This window comes from Homo sapiens, chromosome 7 (assembly GCF_000001405.40).
Source record: "Homo sapiens chromosome 7, GRCh38.p14 Primary Assembly".
Taxonomy (NCBI): Eukaryota; Metazoa; Chordata; class Mammalia; order Primates; family Hominidae; genus Homo; species Homo sapiens.
Genome location: NC_000007.14, coordinates 101,591,776 through 101,611,682, shown reverse-complemented (window position 1 = coordinate 101,611,682; position 19,907 = coordinate 101,591,776). Strand labels below are relative to the sequence as shown.

Sequence of the window (19,907 nt, the reverse complement as noted above, 5' to 3'; positions counted from 1 at the left end):
TTCCGGACATTCATATAAATAGGATCCTGCAATACATGGCCTTTTGTGTCTGGCATCTTTCACTTAGCATAACATTTTCATGGTTCATCCTTGTTGTAGACTTTATTTGTTTATTTATTTATTTATTTTTGAGACAGGGTTTCACTCTTGTTGCCTAGGCTGGAGTGCAGTGGCATGATCTTGGCTCACTGCAACCTCTGCCTCCTGGGTTCAAGTGATTCTCCAACCCCAGCCTCCCGAGTAGCTGAGATTACAGGCGTACGCCACCACGCCTGGTTAATTTTGTATTTTTAGTAGAGAGAGGGTTTCACCACGTTGGTCAAGTTGGTCTCGAACTCCTGACCTCAGGTGATCCATCTGCCTCAGCCTCCCAAATTGTTGGGATTACAGGCATGAGCCACCACACCTGGCTTCATTCCTTTCTGTAGCCAGATAAGATTCCATTTTATGGATAGATCACATTTTGTTTATTCATCAGTTGATGCACATTTGAGATATTTCTGTTAGCTATTATGGATAACGCTACTATGAACATTTGTGTACAAGTTTTTGTGTAAATACATGTTTTCAATTCTCTTAGGCATATACCTAGGAGTGAAATTACTGGTTCATATGGTAACTCTATATTTAACTTTCTGAGGAATTGCCAAATTGCTTTTCAAAAAGGTTACACCGTTTTGTATTCCCACCAGTGATGTACAAGGGTTTCAATTTTTCCACATTCTTGCCAACACTTGTTATTTTCTGTTTTTCTTTTCTTCCAAAATTATAACCATCTTAATGGGTATGAAGTGGTATTTCATTTGGGTTTTGATTTGCATTTCTCTAATGGATAATGACATTGAGCATCTTACCATGTTTTTATTGGCCATTTGTATCTCTTGGGAGAAATCTGTTCAGGTTCATTGCCCATTTTAAAATTGTGTTACACTTTTTTGTTGCTGAGTTTAGAAGTTCTTTATATATTCTAGATACTAGATCTTTTTATTTTAATTTATTTGTCTATTTATTTATTTTTGAGACAGGGTCTCACCCTGTCACCCAGGCTGGAGTGCAGTGGCACCATCACAGCTCACTGCAGCCTCAATCTCCCAGGCTTAAGCAATCCTCCCACCTCAGCCTCCCAAGTAGCTGGGACTATAAACATGAGCCACCCCACCTGGTTAATTTCTATATTATTTTATTTTATTATTTATTTATTTATTTGGAGAGCTGCCCAGGCTGGTCTTGAGCTCCTGGGCTCAACCAGTCTTCCCACCTTGGCTTCCCAAAGTGCTGGGATTACAGGCAAGAGCCCACCACGCCCAGCCTGGACCCTTTTAGATATGTGATTTGCAAATATTTTCTCCCATTCTGTAGGATGTCTTTGTACTCTCTTGATAGTGCCCTTTGATGTACAACAGTTTTACATTTTGATGAAGTCTATTTTAGCTATTTCTGCTCGTGCTTTGGGTGTTATATCTAAGGAACTGTTGGGCAGATGCAGTGGCGCATGCCTGTAACCCCGGCCCCTGGGAGGCCGAGGCAGACAGATCACATGAGGTCAGAAATCTGAGACCAGCCCGGCCAACATGGCCAAACATCATCTCTACTAAAAATACAAAAAAACTAGCCAGGCATGGTGGCACACACCTGTAGTCCCAGCTACTTGGGAGGCTGAGGCAGGAGAATCACTTGAGCCCAGGAGTTCAAGGCTGCAGTGAGCTGTGATTGCACCACTGCACTCCAGCCTGGGTGATAGAGAGAGATCCTGAGGCCCTGTATCAACAAAAAGAAAAGAAAAAAAAATAAAGAAAAGAAAGGAAAGGAAAGGAGGAAAGAAGAAAAGAAGGGAGAAGGGAGGAATGGAGGGAGGGAGGAATGGAGGAAGGGAGGCAGGGAGGGAGGAAGGGAGGGAGGGAGGAAGGCAGGGAGGGAGGAAGGGAGGGAGGGAGGAAGGCAGGGAGGGAGGAAGGGAGGGAGGGAGGAAGGGAGGGAGGGAGGAAGGGAGGGAGGGAGGAAGGGAGGAAGAGAGAAAGAAAGAGAAAGAGAAGAAAAGAAAAGAAAGGAGGGAAGGAAGGGAGGGAGGAAGGGAGGGAGGAAGGAAGACAGAGAAAGAAAGAAAAAGAAAAAAAGCAAGAGAGAGAGAAAAAGAGAGAGAAAGAAAGAAAGAAAGAGAGAGAGAGGGAGGGAGGGAAGGGAGGGAGGGAAGGAGGGAGGGAAAGGAAAGAAAAGTAAGAAACAAGAACCGAGTGTTTAAGGAAGAGAAGAGCAGGTCTAAGGTGTGACCCTGGAATCGGGTGGCTGAGGTTGGGGGAGCAGGTCCCTGGAGCCAAGGATTGGAGGCTGTGGGTTGAGGGGTAGAATTCAGACCCTGAGAGGCCAGGAGGAAGGAGGCCAAGGAGAGTGGCATGTTGGACCCTGCAGAGGGCCAGCCCTGGCTTTGACGGTAGCTGCTTCACCACAGGGGCCACACTCCCCTACCCCTTGGCCACAGTGAAAGGTCTCCCCTCCTCTTTCCCCACTGCTGAGCTCCTGTTCCCTCTGTGGGAGGCGGGAGAGAGAAGCACCACCATCAGTCTGGAGCTCTGGGCTCAGGACACAGGGGACAGGTACATAGCAGAGGAGCTCCTCCCTCCACCCCAAGCCTGGCTCCGCTTGCTCTCCAAGACTTTGACTTTCCTAGAAATCACGGACCGAGCCCTGTCTCTGCTGCTGAGGAACTTGTCAGACCTGTTTGTGCCCCGCAGAACCAAGCCAGCGCCAAGGTACTGCAGGCCACAGGCATCTGCTTGCCAGCTGCTCCCTGCAGCTAGGCCTGCCCACCTGCAGGAGCCCAGCTCCTCCAAGACACAGGGCCAGCCGGTAGGGAAGGCCAGAGGGACTCCACGTCAGCTCAGAGAGGAGGCCGGGGCATTCATCTCATTTATTCCTCTGTCCTCAGTGCCTCCACTTGTCTATACCTCCTCTGTACCAGTGCTCAGAGAGGGTGATCAATAACACCAGTAACACCTCACCTCTGCCCTCAATGGTCTCTGGCTGGGAGATACCAGGATGGGGGTAGGCTACAGGCATGGGAGTGATGCGGCACAAGTGGGGCCCCAGGGAAAAGAAAAGCAGGGGGCCTCTCAGAAGGCACAAGATGGCTGTGAGGCTGCTGGCGGCTCCAACTCCCTGGTCTCTGCCACTCTTGGGAGTTACACAGCATGGCCTCCTGGAGGCCCCTCTCTCCCAAGCTGTGGTTCATTGGTGGTCTCCACTGCCCCTGACCTGGGCACATGACTAGCTGCCTTCAATATCCACGCCTTTCTGTCCAGTCCTTGAGGAATACCTGGATGACCCCAGGCTCTACAGTTCTTCCTCCCGTCCCTGTAGCTGGGGTAATCCACAGAGCTGCCCTTCCAGGGGTAGAGGGCTGAGGCTCCCAAAAGCCAGAGAGAAATCAGCAAGAATGAGCATGTGGGTGGACACATCGTCTTTCCAGTGTTCTTTCTGAAAGCACCTTTCTAAAGGTACAAGAACGTGGCGGGGTGCGGTGGCTCACACCTGTAATCCCAGCACTTTGGGAGGCCAAGGTGGGAGGATTGCTTGAGCCCAGGAATTCTAGACCAGCCTCAGAAACAAAGCAAGACCCTATCTCTAAAAGAAATAATAAAACAAAACAAAACAAACAAAAGAACCCCTTGCCGGCCTCTTGAACTTCCCTGCACCACCGTGCCCTGGGCTCTGGGTTCCAGCTGCACAGTTTCATTGGGGACCCTACGTTTCCTCCTGTTGCAGAGTCTTGCTCATGCTGCTCCCTCTACCTGGAACACTCCCTGCCCCCTTTGCCCAATCCCCCCTGCATTAGTCAGGGTTCTTAGAGGTAAAGAACTAATAGGATAGATATATAATAGGATAGGATATATATATATAAAATAGGATGTGTGTATATATATATATATATGGGAGTTTATTAAGTATTAACTCACAGGATCACAAGGGAAAGAATTAATGGGATATATATATATAGAGAGAGAATTATTATATATAAAGAATTATTGTATTATATATAATATATATAATAGGATAGGATATATGTAAAATAGGATATATATATAAAGGGGAGTTTATTAAGTAGTAACTCACAGGATCACAAGGGAAAGAACTAATAAGAGAGAGAGATATATATAGATTTATATATAAAGAATTATATAATATATATTATATAACATTATATAAAATAGGATATATATATAGAGAGAGATATAGATATACATAAAGGGGAGTTTATTAAGTATTAACTCACAGGATCACAAGGTCTCACAATAGGCCGTCTGCAAGCTGAGGAGCAAGGAAACCAGTCCAAGTTCCAAAGCTGAAGAACTTGGAGTCCAATGTTCGAGGGCAGGAAGCATCCAGCACAGGAGAAGGGTGTAGGCTGGGAGGCTAGGCCACGCTAGTCTTTTCACATTCTTCTGCCTGCTTTATATTCTGGCCTCACTGGCAGCTGATTAGATAGTGCCCACCCAGATTGAGGGTGGGTCTGCCTTTCCCAGTCCACTGACTCAAATGTTAATCTCCTTTGGCAACACCCTCACAGACACACCAAGGATCAATACTTTGCATCCTTCAACCCAATCAAGTTGACACCCAGTAGTAACCATCATGCTCCCTACTCAGCTTTCTGGTCTCAGGTCAGCAGCGTATCCTAAGGCCCTGACAGCGGCATAGGCCAAATCACTTTCCATGTAGTTTCATGGCACCAAGAACTTTCACTTTTTGGTAAGTGGTGTCTGTCTTCCCCCAGAGTGCCATAAGTCCCTGAGGGAAGGGAGTAGGCTGGATTTGCCCACAGCTATGCCCCCAGCACCCTACATGGGGCCTGGCATGCAGGAGGCTCTTGGGAAATATTTGACTGTCTCCAGGACACCCAGAGAGCCAGCCCCGAATCACGGGAGTTATCTGGAAGCAGCTCTGTGGCTTTGGGCCTCCAAGACACTGCAGGGCAGAAGCTGAGGCTGGAATTGCAATTATTCCTGAGCCTCCTGGAGGCTTCAGGGTACTTTCCCTGTCTGCCTGGGCCTTAGTCTTCCCATAAGCAGAATGGAACCCCAGGGCCCCTGGTGTCTCAAGGATATGTACCCCCCAGGGCAGCAGCAAACCCAAGGCCATGGCCAGTCCTGGGCTTGCTTGGCAGCATCCAAGGTGATGCATCTTGTTATCTGGCCAAAGTGGCTCTCCTAGAATCCTTGGTAGCCCCACACTTGGCCTGGTAGGTGACAGACAGGGAACACAGGCAGGGTTGGGACAGGCCTTTGTAGCCCCAGGGAGCTGGGTACAGGGATCCGGGCCTGCCCCGGCGCCGCCGGCTCCCACAGCCAGCTGGGTCTCATTGAGAGTAATTAGCCCAGCAAGATGCCTGGGTCTTGGCATTTCATTTTTCCGCTCAGGAGCCATCAGCCGGGGGCCTTCGGACAGTGGCCCCCGCATAAATCATGAGGGGGTCGCTGTTAAGAGAAACAGCAAATTCCTTCCACCCGTGTGGCTGCTTAAATTGACTCTGGGAGCAGATTCCGTCCTGGCGCTCACTCAAGAATGGCCAAGTCCTTTGAAGGTCTTTCCAGGACGGACCCCAGGGGCTTGGAGCTGGAGGGGCGGCGACTCTCCCAGGGATCCTCTGCTGATCGCAGAAGGGTGGGGCCCCTCCCGGGACAGCGTGGCTGGTGGAGGGACCCTGCCTGGCACCGGCTTCCACCATCACTCTGTTTTTCTGGCAACCCTGGGAGCGGCTGCACCTTTTTCACAGCCAGGACATGGCTGGGGTGGAAGTGGGGACTAGGGGCTGATGGTGTCTTTAGCCTGGGACACCACACTTCAGGGCAATGAAATGTCCTCATGGAATTTCAGGCCTCAGGGGCTGGTGAAGGCATGCGGTGAGGTTCCGAGGGGGTGCCCCCATAGCTAGAGTCTGGATGGAAAATTGTACTCTATGCCTGCTGTGAGCTGAGGCCCGGGCTGGGCTAAGGATTTCAGTCTGACTGGGGGTTGGCTTGGGCCTCCGGGGATCCCAGGGGTCTGTCCGTGTCTGTTTTTCTCTTCCTGTCTCTCTCAAACACAAGGTCTCGCTTGATCAAGGTGAAGTAGAGCCCTGAGAGGGAGGGAGTTTAGGGGAGGGTGGATCCCTGCTGGCCCCGGAGGCCTGGGTTTGCATCCAGGTCTGCCACGGCTAGATGGGTGTCCCTGGGAAAGTCACCAACCTCACTGGGACTCAGCTTCTCCATTTGGAAAATGGAGACAGTGACGATGCCAAGTTTCCAGGCTGCTCTCCTCCTTCAAGCAGGCTAGGCCTGGGGATCCGAGGGTGGACAGAAACACCTCACCAGACCACACTGAGCTTATATCCAGGAGAAGGCCAACGCCATGACCAGTGAGGACATCATGATGCAAGAAGGACTCAAGGTGACAGAGAGGTAGACAGCCAGAGGACAGGCTGTGGTGGATGGAAGAGAGTGGCCCACAACTGTGTGGGCCATGGTAAAGGTTTGGCCCTTGCTGGGTGTGGTGGCTCACGTGTGTAATCCCAGCACTTTGGGAGGCTGAGGCAGGAGGACTGCTTGAGGCCAGGGGTTTGAGACCAGCCTGGGCAACATAGTGAGACCCCATCTCTGAAAAAAAAAAAAAAAAAGCTGGGTGTAGTACTGTGTGCCTGGGGTCCCAGCTACTTGGGAGACTGAGGCAAGAGTATTGACTGAGCCCAGGAATTGGAGGCTGCAGTGAGCTATGATTGTCCCACTGCACTCTAGCCTGGGTGACAGGGCAAGACCCTGTCTCTAAGGAATAAAAAAGGGACACTTTCACTCCATTGGGAGTGACATAACCAGAAATGTGATTTATTAAACCAGGATGACAAATGCCAAGTCAGGAAATGCCTGTGGAGCTGAAGAAGCACAGTGGGGATGCCCTTTTCAGCCTGGAGGGCTTCCTGGAGGAGGTGATAACTTGAAGAATGGGTGGCAGAAATGCAGACAAAGAGGAGATGATGACCAGTCTCCAAATGAAAGATGCTGAAAGGGAGTCTCCTTCCACAATGTTCTCTCCTGGTTGCATCAAGGAGAGATGCTGGATTTGGTGCAGACAGGTCTCTGACCAGCCTACTGCCCTCTTTAGCAAGGGAGCAGACACCAGGCTGAGAGCCTTCCCTAGGCCCCGGCAGCCAGCCAGAATTGAACGGCATTGTTCCGTTTTCATGGTATGCATTTTTTTTTTTTTTTTTTGAGACGGAGTCTTGCATTGTCACCCAGGCTGGAGTGCAGTGGCATGATCTCGGCTCACTGCAACCTCTGCCTCCTGGGTTCAAGCAATTCTTCTGCCTCAGCCTCCTGAGTAGCTAGGATTACAGGCACCTGCCACCACGCCTGGCTGATTTTTGTATTTTTAGTAGAGACAGGGTTTCACTATGTTGGCCAGGCTGGTCTCGAACTCCTGACCTCGTGATCCACCCACCTCAGCTTCCGAAAGTGCTGGGATTATAGGCATGACCCACTGCTCCCAGCCATGGCATGCATTTTTATGCATGTTGTCTGTATGTGGCACAGGGGACTAGCTTTTCATTTTTGATAGCAAGGTTTCTTTTTTATAAAAGCTTTCTTTAAAATAAACATATGTATAGGAGTCGATTTAAGGAAAAAGATAAATGTAAACAATATTTAGCTACAAAAAAAAAAGTCATGAAGGTGAAATGAGAATCACTGAAGTCTGGGAAAAGGCCAGGCGCGGTGGCTCACGCCTGGAATCTCAGCACTCTGGGAGGCCGAGGTGAGTGAATTACCTGAGGTCAGGAGTTCAAGACCAGCCTGGCCAACATGGTGAAACCCCGTCTCTACTAAAAATATAAAAATTAGCCGGGCATGGTGGCACATGCCTGTAATCCCAGCTACTGGGAAGACTGAGGTGGGAGAATCACTTGAACCCAGCGGGGGGCAGAGGTTGCGGTGAGCAGAGATTGCACCAGTGTACTCCAGCCTGGGCGGTAGAGTGAGACTCCGTCTCAAAAAGATAATAATAAAATAAGGCTGGGCATGGTGGCTCATGCCTGTAATCACAGCTACCTGGGAGGCTGAGGCAGGAGAATCACTTGAACCCTGGTGGTGGAGGTTGCAGTGAGCCAAGATTGTACCACTGCACTCCAGCCTAGGCGACAGAGCGAGACTCTGTAAAATAAAATAAAATTAAAAAAAAAAGTGAAGTCTGGGAAGAGCTGAATTCTGAAGAAGAGGCTGTGAGAGATTAATTTGAAGGTGGATGTTCCAGAACCTTCTGGAACACGGGTTCCAGAACTGGTGTAGCTTCACTATACCAGTGTCATCTTCCAGTCTTGAGTCCAAATCTCCTTGAATAAAGAGGCTTGATCCTGGAACCCAAACAGGCAGGGTGAGGCCAGGGAAGTGTGGCTGCTCACAGACAGACGGACACACAGCCTCCCAGCCCCGTGGGAGCTTCTGTGCTGGCACCCGCGTGACGTGGGGTTTCAGGCTAGTAGCAGGTCGTGGGGGCCCCCGAGGCTTCTTAACAGACTATGAGAGGGACTGTGTTGTGCGGGGCAGGTCCTGCCTCCTCTAGGCCCCAGACCCCTTTGTGCCGCCAGGACTCTGGCCTGACGTGGTTGGTGAGCGTGGGCCTGGCAATGGGGCTGGGAAGGAGAGGCCAGCCTGGAGCCGCCCTAATCCGGGTTTAGCTCTCACTTCAAAGCTGGTGGCTTCAGCTTCATTGGAATGTCCAGCCATGGGGGAAGGAGGGACGCGCCTGGCTCCCATCAAGCGCCAGGGAGTCACTGTGGCCTCTTGAGGGCCAGGGTGAGGGGTGGGATGGGGGTGGGGCTGGAGAGCTCAGTGAGGCATCTGGGGTGGGGAGCCCCAGCCCTGCCCCTTATAGCTGTGTGACCTCAAGGCTAGTGGTTCAACCTCTCTGAGCCTTCATATCCCTCATCAGGGAAACAGGGTTAGCGGCACCCCCTCTCCTGGGGCCATATCTGGTGCAGGGCCTGGCCCAGGGCGGGGAGACCCCAGTCTGTGCACAGCCTGGTGCGTCAACGGGCTTTTGCAGCGAGGGCGGCCCTTGTGGCTCCACAGCGCCATCTACTGACAGCTGAGCAGCCTCTCCTGGCTCCGCCTTCCCCAAAGCCTCTGGGGCTTGGGAATCTCTAGATCACAGTCGGCACAAGAGTCCACAGCGCAACTTTGGTGCAGAGAAGACTAAATTCAAGCCCCGGCTGCTTAACCTATTCGATGTTAAGTTTCCTTAAGTAAAAAAAAATAGCAGCAAACACTTAGAGAACAGTCACCGAGCCCCAGGCAGTGTGCACTAACGTGTGTAACCCTCCCAGCAACCCTGAGGAGTACATCCTATTATTATACCATTTGACAGATGAGAAGACTGAGGCCAGAGAGGGTAAGGCACCGAGTCAAGACGCCTACCTGCCTGGCCTGTCCCAGCTCTGCCGCTTACTGACTGTGCGACCTACAGAGCAGCCAAGTGAGTACAGCTGGGGCACCCGCCTTGCACGGCTGCGGGGAGGAATTACACCTGGGAACAGTGGAAACCCTTGGCTCCAGACGCTGTGATCCAGTGACTCCAGCCACCTAACGCTCGGTGCCTCTGTGTCCCCATCTTCAGTGTTTTCACACATCTGTGACGTCTTCGCTCTGAGTTGGTGGCCCCTGCCTGTCCACATGTCCCCAGCAAAGGTCCACGAAGCAATCCTCTATCCAGCCTCAGTCCTGTGTCCTCGGGGGCACTGGAAGGCAGGCAGTTGGCAGGAGGCTGGGGAGGGCGGGATATTCAGGGGGAAGAGACCTTGGTCCTGGTCCCATGTCCACGGGAGGGGACCAAGGAGGGTTGTGTGTCCCGGGCCCTAAATGGAGCGGGACACAGTCATCGGGGACCTCAGCTGTTAGACTCTGATCCACGCCTTTCTCCACATTTGTTCAAAGTGGGTTTCCTCTCCTCGCGGGCTTCCAAGTGTTCTTTAGGTGACCTGACCCAACCACTCACTCAGGAACCTGGGCAGCACCCCCAGGACAATGGGTGGCAGGGGGGTGTCCCTTTCTGTCCCCACCTGTCACTGCCTGGCTGTGTGGTCCCCTCTGCCATCCTTTGTTTCCTGGTCTGCAAATGGAATGACATTATACCTCCAGCCATTTCCACTGCCAGCACTCCCATAACCTTTCCCTCCCTCTCTGCAGCCCAGCCCATCAGGGCATTGGGTGATTCAAGGCTGCAGGTTTGAGGCCTCCAAGCACCTCCAGTGGGAGGCTTGGAGACAGACAAAGCTGTGAAGTTTGACTCCCAAAGTGGGGCAACAAGATTCCTGGCTTCCATGGATAGGGGCGGTAGAAGAGCCAAGGATGGGGCCTCGATGAGGCTCTGGATCCCTGGGACAGCCTGGAGGGACAGCCTCAGGCTCCTGCACCGTCTGGGTCCCACCTGCCCCTTTTCCACACTGCCTCCATTCAGCGAAAGGCCCCTCCTGGAATGCCCTCATCCATTCTGGTAAATACTGGTTCTTCTCCCTCCTGCCCTGCCCAGAACTTCCATCAAGCGGGCAGACGTGAGTCTCCCATAAAAGCTGGAGGCCTGGCCAGATGCAGCGGCTCACGCCTGTAATCCCAGCACTTTGGGAGGCGGAGGCACGCGGATCACTTGAGGTCTGTAGTCCAAGACCAGCCTGGCCAACATGGTGAAACCCCGTCTCTACTAAAAAAATTAGCTGGGTATGATTGTGTGCCTGTAATCCCAGCTACTCGAGAGGCTGAAGCATGGTCATTGCCTTTGGGATGGGATCTCCGGCCAGGCTGGGCCCAGAGCAGTCCTGGCTGGGGACTGAGGACTCTCACTGGCTCACCATCCAGGCAGGCCCTCCTGGACAAGAGCCGTCCCTATGCCCACCTGCCAGTGAGGTTGCCCAGTCCCTGGGTGGCCTGGGCCACCTGACACATGGCCCTCAACAGTCTACACAGCACCTGGACCTCCACTGTGAGGTGGGCCAGGCAGGCTGGAGTACCCATTTTACAGTTGAGAAAGCTGGGATTCAGAGAGAAAAGGCAGCTCTCGTTTGCACACATAGGCAGGAAGTGGCAGGATGAGCCCAAAAGTCAGGGCGGAGGACCCTGGCCCAGCACTTTCCCTACACGCTGCTGTGAAGGCTCACACCCCAGCTCAGATCAGTTTCCGGGGGACTGGGCACAGAAGGCCAGTGACAGAGAAGCCCAGAGCTGGAGCAGGGACTGATTTTTTTGAGCGCCTGTGCTGGATCTGGTAGACGGGGCTTCACGCGGTTGGTCTCTCTAAAATCTCTCTCCAGCCTTAGGGCCGGGCATGGTGGCTCACGCTGTAATCCCAGCACTTTGGGAAGCTGAGGTGGGCGGATCACTTGAGGTCAGGAGTTCAAGACCAGCCTGGCCAACACAGTGAAACCCCATCTCTACTAAAAATACAAAAATTAGCAAGGCACGGTGGCAGACACCTGTAGTCCTAGCTACTCGTGAGGCTGAGGCAGGAGAATCACTTGAACCTGGGAGGCAGAGGTTGCAGTGAGCTGAGATTGCACCACTGCACTCCAGCCTGGGCAACAGAGTGAGGCTTCATCTCAAAACAAAAACAAAAACAACAAACACCTCTCTTTAGCCTTGTGTTGCTGTGCTATTTTGTAGGGGAATAGGTGCTAATATTCCCATTCTGCAGATGAGGAAACTGAGGCTCAGATAAGCTAAGATACTTGTCCAAGGGCCACAACTGCCCACGGCTGTCTGCTCTCGAAGCCTGTCATCTTTCCACTCCAAGGATGTGGTCACACTGCCCTTTCAATTACCAGAGACTTCACTTTGCAAACCACCAGTGGGTGCCTCCTTGGACCAGGCTTATGCTAAGCACTAGGAATCGGTGTGGGCTCACACCCAGCCTCTGTTCTTGAGAAGCTGGGCAGTGGACACATCCATAAACATCCCAGGGCATGGGCTAGGCAGAGTCCCGGGGGCCTGGAGGAGGGAGAAGTCCCGGTTGCTGGGAGATGGGGAGCCATCCAGGGCACCAATGAGCCAGGCCCGCCAGGGCAGGAGGAGCTCCGAGAGGCAGTAGACAGCCTGTTGTCATCACAGTTGTTGGGAGGCCAAGCTCAGCGAGTGATCAGGAGGCAGGACCTGAGCTGAGAGAGGCTCTCAGGTCAGGTGGCAGGACCCGGGTCCTCCGGCCAGAGCAGAGTAGTCATTTCGAAGGCATGGGGAACCTCCCGTGAGGCTTCGGCCCCTGCATGGGTGCTGTGGCTTTGCCTTCCTTTTGGGGAATGGATGGAAGGCCCGTGTTGCCGTCCACAGAGGTGACGACAGAGGCCACTGCTGGTCACAGTGAGAGGCCAGTGTGTGCTCTGTCTTGCATTCCTGCCCCGCGGGTCCTTGGAAAAGCCAGAGACTGCCATCTGGTCTCTATGGGTGGAACTAAGGTCACATGCCAAGAGGGCAGAGGGCAGTGGTTTCTTGACCATCTGAGTTCCATTCCCTCTGGGTCAGTTTTGGCTTCTGGGATCTGCCCTGTGAGCTCACAGAAAAGTACGGACTCCAGCAAGCTGCAGGCCCAGTTACCCTGGGAGATTCCAGCTGAGATGGGGCCTACTACTCCCCCTGGCTGGTCCCTTCCACCAGGGTGCCAGTGGCCACTGGGCAACAAAGCCCAGAAACAAGATGAGCTGGGAGCAAAGTTCCTTTAGCTCCATCCCCCAGCTGGGCCCAGTGTGTGGGGGGCCCAGGATCTGGATGAGAGGGGGTGCCTGCCTGACGTCACCAGTCAGCTTTGCCAAAGCCGACCGACCAGAACACACAAGCTGCTGCTTCCCAGGAAGTGGGGCAGGAGGGGGCTGGGCTGTCCCTGCCACTCCAGGTGCTCGTGCAGGCTCTGGGGCCTGGTTGGGCCTGGGTCTCTTCTCCAGGGTGGACGCTCTGCCCGTCCGCCTGTGCAGTTTCACCCCTACCCAGGCTCCATCTGGGACCCTCTCTGGCCTCAGTCATTGGTCCTTGGAGCAGGGTGTCGGCCAGGCCTAGGATTTGCGTCCTCAGCACAGGGTCATCAAAGCCTTGACGAGGCCCTCCGGCGGCTTGCCAGTTTCCGAGAGGTGAGATCATACACCTGAAAGTGGGCCCGCCCGGCCCTGCGCCTTGAATGGACTTCTTGTTCTCCCAGATCCTGGCTGTCAGCGCCAGGCTTGTCAGCAGGAGGTGACTCTGTTGGCCGTTCCTGCCTGGCCAGAGGCCCTGCCAGAGGCTAGGCGAGGGTGGGAGGCAGCTCAGAGCTGGCCCTGAACAGTCCCTCCAGCTGGGAGGCCCCGTTGTCTCTGCACCCCTTGTCCCTGATAGTGGGGCATGGGAAGGAGATGCCGTATCATAGGGTCTTCCATCGTGAAATCCTAGAAGTGTCTGGTACTCAAATGCTCAGTACAAGCTGCAGGGCCCCTGTATTCAGCAGCTTGGCTCTCATGCCTTCCCGGGGGGCCCAGAGATAAATAAGGCCAATGACTACCCACGAGGTGCACCCAGCCCAGGGAGCAGAATGAGTGGTTGGGTCTCAACGTTACGACCTGGCCAGTGGGATCTTAGAGGCAAGTCCTGTATACAGAACTTCAGAGCATAGAGAAGGGAGGGAATGCAGGCTTAGAGGTGGTAGGCTGCATGAGGAAGGGTTGTCAAGCTGAGCCCTAGTGGAGGAAGATGGGCAGGGGACAAAGATGGAGACAGCTAGTGTAGGCCCTACAGTGGGAACAGTGTGGCCTGGAGCTCTGGCCAGGGCAGGACAGTGGGGGTGGGGAGGATAGAAGGGGCTGGGGGCATGGATACTGTCCTGGCCTTAGGGAATGTCCTTTTCCCACTAGGACCCCTTCCATTTCTGGTTTCTTTCTTCAAAGTCCCCTGTTCACCCCCATAATCAGAGTTTCCTTTTGATCTCTCTTTGAATGCTTTCTAGGCATTCCTCCTATGTTTGCACACTGTTGGGCTATTCTTTTTTTTTTTTTTTTTTTTGAGACGGAGTTCTGCTCTTGTTGCCCAGGCTGGAATGCAATGGCATGATCTTGGTTCACTGCAACCTCTGCCTTCCAGGTTCAAGCGATTCTCCTGCCTCAGCCTCCCGAGTAGCTGGGATTACACATAAGTGCCACCGCACCCAGCTAATTTTGTATTTTTAGTAGAGACGGGGTTTCTCCATGTTGGTAAGGCTGGTCTCGAACTCCCAACCTCAAGTGATTCACCCAGCTCCGCCTCCCAAAGTGCTAGGATTACAGGTGTGAGCCACCACACCCAGCTTGGGCCATTCTTATACTTCTGAAAGCTTTCAAACTTACAAACAAATAAATAGACCTGGCACCGTGGCTCACACCTGTAATCCCAGAACTCTGGGGGGCCAAGGTGGGAGGATTGCTTGAGCCCAGGAGTTTGAGACCAGCCTGGACAACATAGCAAGACCCTGTGTCTACAAAATAAAACATAAAAAATGTAGCTGGGCATGGTGGCATGCACCTGTAGTCCCAGCTACTCAGGAGGCTGAGGTGGTAGAATCACTTGAGCTTGGGACATGGAGGCTGCAGTGAGTTATGATTGCACAATTGCACTCCAGCCAGGTGATAGACTGAGATCGTGTCTCTATAAACATTAAAAATAAATAAGCAAAAATGCCCACTGTTGCTTTTTTGCTTTTTCCTTACAGGACTCAGTCAATAAGTTTCAGACACATACAAGTTCTTATATGCAGGATTTTAAGTTCAAAATGATGATACATATTTAATGGTCTAGAGAAGGGAGTTGGTGAACTTTTCCTGGAAAGGGCCAGACAGTAAATATTTTAGGTGCTGTGGTCCATATGGCCTCTGATACCACCATGGAACTCTACTGCTCTCATGACAAAGCAGCTGTGGACAAGCTATAAATGAATGAGCATGCCTGTATTCCAATCAAACTTTATTTGTGGATACTAAAATTCGAATTTTGTATAAATTTCTCACATAGCTCACAAAATAATATTCTTCTTTTGATTTTTTCCAGCCATGTTATAGTGTAAAAGCCTTGCTTACCTTGCAGGCTATACAAATACAGGCAGCAAATTATTGTTATAGTTTTCTGTAGTACAGAATGACTAATCTTTTTCAAAAAGTAGTAAATAAATACTTTAAAGTTTCATAAATGGGTATACTATATGTTTTGGTTTTCTGCATAACAAATTGCCCCAACACTTTGGTTTTCTGCATAACAAATTGTCCCAACACTTAGTGGTTTAAAGCAATAACCATCTTAAATCTCATTATCCTATGAGTTGACTGTGCTTGGCTGGGAGGTTCTTCTGCTTTATGTGATGTTGGTTGGGGATGCAGCCATCTGGGAGCTATAGCGAGCTGGAATATCCAAGATGGCCCATCCATATGACTGGCAGCTCATGTTGGATGTTGCCTGGGACTTTAGCGGGGCTGTCAACCAGAGTGCCTAAATGTGGCTTCTGTACGTCTTTTGGAGCATGATGGCTGGTTTCTGAGAAGCAGTGTCCCAAGAGCAAGTGTTCCAAGAGGGAGAAGCAGAAACTGCCAGTCTTCACAAAGACTAGGACCCTGACTGGCCACTGTTCCTTCCATTGCATTCTATTGGGTAAGCAGCCATGAGGATAGTCTAGACTAAACAGGAGGGGAAATAGATTTCTTGAAAGGCATGACAAATAATTTATAGCCATCTGTAATCCATCATACCATCTGTCCATGTCAACACTGAATGGATGAACTTGTGTGCATTTTAGGTGATCGTTGGATACTTGAATGTTTGTGGGCTTCATACATGAGTACCACAGCCAGCTAGACAGTGGGGACATGTTCCCAGAGAGTTAATGGCTAACATTAATTGAGTGCACCTGTAATCCCAGCTACTCAGGAGGCTGAGGCAGGAGAATCACTTGAACCCAGAATCCGGGAGGCGGAGGTTGCAGTGAGCTGAGATCACACCACTGCAGTGTGAGGAATCCATTGAGAGTATGATATTATTGTATCCTCACAATATTCTGTAAAGTAGAAACTACTGTTATCCAGTTTTTACACATGAGGAAACAGAGGCTTAGAGAGTTCCATCTGTGTTGCAATAAGTGGCAATGCTCATGGAACATCTTATGATGAAGCTCAAGTGACAGGGGATGGCAGGGTCTGGGGCTCAGAGCAATCAGGGCTGAGGGGCACAGAATGGCTTAGATCATGAGAAGTGACTTGCCCAAGGTCACCCTTGACATCCCCAGTGGAGCTGAGCCAAGAACTCAGGGCTCCCAACTCAAGGTTCCACCCCAGGAGTGGGGCTCATTTTGCACCACCACCTGGCTTAGGAGACAGAGTCCTGCATTTTCATTAAGCTTGCAAGTTGGACCGGTCAACATCCCTGAGCTTCAGGTTTTCCCCCTTGGCAAATAGAGCAATGAACAGCTTCCTCTCAGAGCCATAGTGAAGACCGAACAAGAAAAGAAAAAATCACCACCACTGTCATTTTGGAGTGGTAAGCCTGGGTCTTCGGAGTGGAACAGATAGAAATCACCCACTTGGCACTCCAGGCTCTGCAGTTTTCTCATCTATAAAATGGGCCCGGATGTTGTGAGGGTTAAATGAGATAGCATGAATCATGCACATGACATAGAGTGAGTCCCCTCAAGGCACTGGTAGAGAAGGCAGCTCTGTCCAATCTGTAAGTCCCCAGTCACAAGTCCCCAGCCTGGGGCCTGCCAGATAGTGGTGTTGAACATATGTTGAATGAATGGGTGCATGCTTGAAGCCCTGTGGCTCCTAAAAGAATACAGAGTAAGACAGCATGTGTGCACAGAGGAGAGTCACTTGAGGGGAAAGTCCTGTGAGAATAGAGCCCTGGTCTGCGTCTTGGGAGGATCAGAGTCTCTAGGATCAGGCAGTCCTCCTCACTTGACTGCTCTATGGGGAGAAGAAAGATGAGAGGCATATTCAGTTGTGTGCTGGAAAATGTAGTGGGGAAAGCCCTGACTGGTAGCGTTTGCCAATTCTCATGGTGTAAAGACCCTCACTGTGGTTGATTTTTTTTTTTTTTTGAGACAGAGTCTCATTCTGTCACCCAGGTTGGAGTGCAGTGGTGTGATCTCAGCTCACTGCAACCTCCGCCTCCCAGATTCCGGGTTCAAGTGATTCTCCTGCCTCAGCCTCCCGAGTAGCTGGGATTACAGGTGCGCACCATGACACCCAGCTAATTTTTCGTATTTTTAGTAGAGATAGGGTTTTGCCATGTTGGCCAGGCTGGTCTCGAACTCCTGGCCTCATGTGATCCACCCACCTCAGCCTCCCAAAGTGCTGGGATTACAGGCATGAGCCATCATGCCTGGCCACGATGGTTGATTTCAAGATATTGTCATTACATCAACTGGCCTGAAACTTACTAAAAGAATTAACAATTGTTTCTTGAAGCAGGCAAGAGAGAAAGGACCCAGATGTGATCATCCCCCAAAACTTAGGGGGGGTTAACTGGTACCTTTATTTATTACTTATCTCTACTCCCCAAAAGGAATCAAGGCATTTTATAGCAATGAAGACAATACATTAAGATGGAATGATTAAATCAAGATTTGGGGGCTGACGAAAGTTAATGTCTAGAAAACACAGGATAAGGCCAAGAGTGAGGCTAAGACCCTAAATTAGTGTCATAAGTTTTTTTCCTGATCTCCTAAGCTGCCTCCCCTCCCTTGTGGTCTCAACAATGCACTTGATCTTCTGTGCCAGACGGACAGCTGGGAGGTGAAAGGACTTGGGGGGAGCAGGGAAGAGTACCCATGTTGGGAAAGAGAAGGCTCAGAGACACACCACTGTCTTCAAGTTTCTGCACGGACATTCCAGGCCAGCAGGAATACAGGGTCCAGTGCGCCGAGCCAGGGCCAATGTGGATCCTCTATCCAAGAAAGAGCTTTTCACAGTCAGAGCCGTACACAGATGAGCCTCACTAGCCTGGAAAGGTAGTGAGTGTCTCGTCAGGGGAAGTATGTAACAGATGCTGGCCAGCCACTTATTGGAGGCTTTCCAAGCACTGGACTTGAGGGCCCATTTGATCCAGGATGTGGACCTGGTTAAGAATGTGGCTCAGGACTCACATCCCAATTCAACAGTAGTTGGGGGCATATTTCTTCACCTCTCTGTGTCTGGTTTTCCCTTCCTCTTTACCTCCACCTCCAGGTTCTCCAGGTGTCCTCCCAACTGGACCCCTGGCAGAAGTGTTCCTGGCCTCCTAGGGTTTCTGAAGCCGGCTGAGCATGACAAGAGCAGGTGCATTTGAGGCGGTGGGAAGCAGAGATTTGGGTAGTACTCTTTTTTGGTTTTGTTTTGTTTTTGAGACAGGGTCTCACTCTATTACCCAGACTGGAGTGCAGTGGTGTGATCTGGGCTCACTTCAGCTTCTGCTTCCCGGGGTCAAGTGATCCTCCTGCCTCAGCCTCCCGAGTAGCTGGGACTACAGACATGCGCCATCACGCTTGCCTAATTTTTTCTTTTCCTTTCTTTCTTTTCTTTTCTTTTTGTTTTTTTTTTTGTTGTTGTTGTTTTGTTTTGTTTTTTTTTTGAGACGGAGTCTTGCGCTGTCACCCAGGCTGGAGTGCAGTGGTATAATCTTGGCTCATTGCAACCTCCACCTCCCAGGTTCAAGCGATTCTCCTGCCTCAGCCTCCCAAGTAGCTGGGATTACAAGTGCACGACACCACACTCATCTAATTTTCGTATTTTTAGTAGAGACGGGGTTTCACCATTTTGGCCAGGCTGGTCTCGAACTCCTGACCTCAGGTGATCCGCCCACCTCGGCCTCCCAAAGTGCTGGGATTACAGGCATGAGCCACCGTGCCCGGCCTTGGCTAATATTTTCTAAAGACAGTTTCACCACGTTGCCTAGGCTGGTCTCGAACTCCTGGGCTCAAGCGATTTGCCTGCCTTAGCCTCCCACAGTGGTGGGATTACAGGTGTGAGCCACCACACCCAGCCTGGGCTGCACTCTTGAGATGGCATGCTCAGCCTCCTTCCTTTAGCTCCTGTCTGGGCTTCTCTGCTGCCACTGATGACCTCTCCCTGGGCAGGTACTTCTTCTGACCCCACACTGTCCCCCATTCCTCAACACAGGCCTGGCATGCAGGAGGTCTCAGTGAGTGGTTGTTAAAGGAATGGACAAGAGGATGGATGGATGGATGGATGGATGGATGGATGGATGGATGATGGATGGATAGATAATTGGATGGATAAATAAATGGGTGGATGAATGGATGGATGTGTGGATAACTGGATGGATAAATAGATGAGTGAATGGATGGATGGGTGGATAATTGGATGGATAAATAAATGAGTGAATGGATGGATGAATGGATGGATGGGTGGATAATTGGATGGATACCTAGATGGGTGAGGGGGTGAATGACTGTGTGAGTGCGTGGATGGATGAATGAGTGGATGGATGGTGGATGGGTGAATAGATGAATAGACGGGTGGATGGATGAGTGGATGGATGGATGAATTGATAATTGGATGAATGAGTAGATGGATGGATGGATGGAGGGAGGGATGAGTGGTACATGTAATTTTAATATAATTGCATGCTCAACCCCTTTATTTATTTCTTTATTTATTTAGAGATTAAGTCTCCTTCTGTCACCCAGGCTGGAATACAGTAGTGCCATCTCAGCTCACTGCAACCTCCACCTCCTGGGCTCAACAATTCTCCTGCCTCAGCCTCCTGAGTAGCTGGGATTACAGGCGCCCGCCACCATGCCCAGATAATTTTTGTATTTTTAGTAGAGACAGGGTTTCACCATGTTGGCCAGGCTGGTCTCGAACTTCTGACCTCAAATGATCCACCCACCTCGTCATCCCAAAGTGCTGGGATTACAGATGTGAGCCACCA

The 19,907-nt window shown here is 51.2% G+C and overlaps 3 annotated features.

Annotated features, from left to right (window-relative positions):
- Positions 8,954–9,013: a silencer, noted in NCBI's record as "silent region_18486". NCBI's record gives its function as "represses an Ori minimal core promoter by ATAC-STARR-seq in GM12878 lymphoblastoid cells {active_cell/tissue: GM12878}" and the evidence as "EXISTENCE:reporter gene assay evidence [ECO:0000049][PMID:35858748]".
- Positions 11,575–12,502: an enhancer, noted in NCBI's record as "H3K27ac-H3K4me1 hESC enhancer chr7:101242461-101243388 (GRCh37/hg19 assembly coordinates)". NCBI's record gives its function as "activates a minimal SCP1, AML or CMV promoter by ChIP-STARR-seq in naive H9 embryonic stem cells {active_cell/tissue: H9 hESC(naive)}" and the evidence as "EXISTENCE:reporter gene assay evidence [ECO:0000049][PMID:30033119]".
- Positions 12,503–13,431: an enhancer, noted in NCBI's record as "H3K27ac-H3K4me1 hESC enhancer chr7:101241532-101242460 (GRCh37/hg19 assembly coordinates)". NCBI's record gives its function as "activates a minimal SCP1, AML or CMV promoter by ChIP-STARR-seq in naive and primed H9 embryonic stem cells {active_cell/tissue: H9 hESC(naive and primed)}" and the evidence as "EXISTENCE:reporter gene assay evidence [ECO:0000049][PMID:30033119]".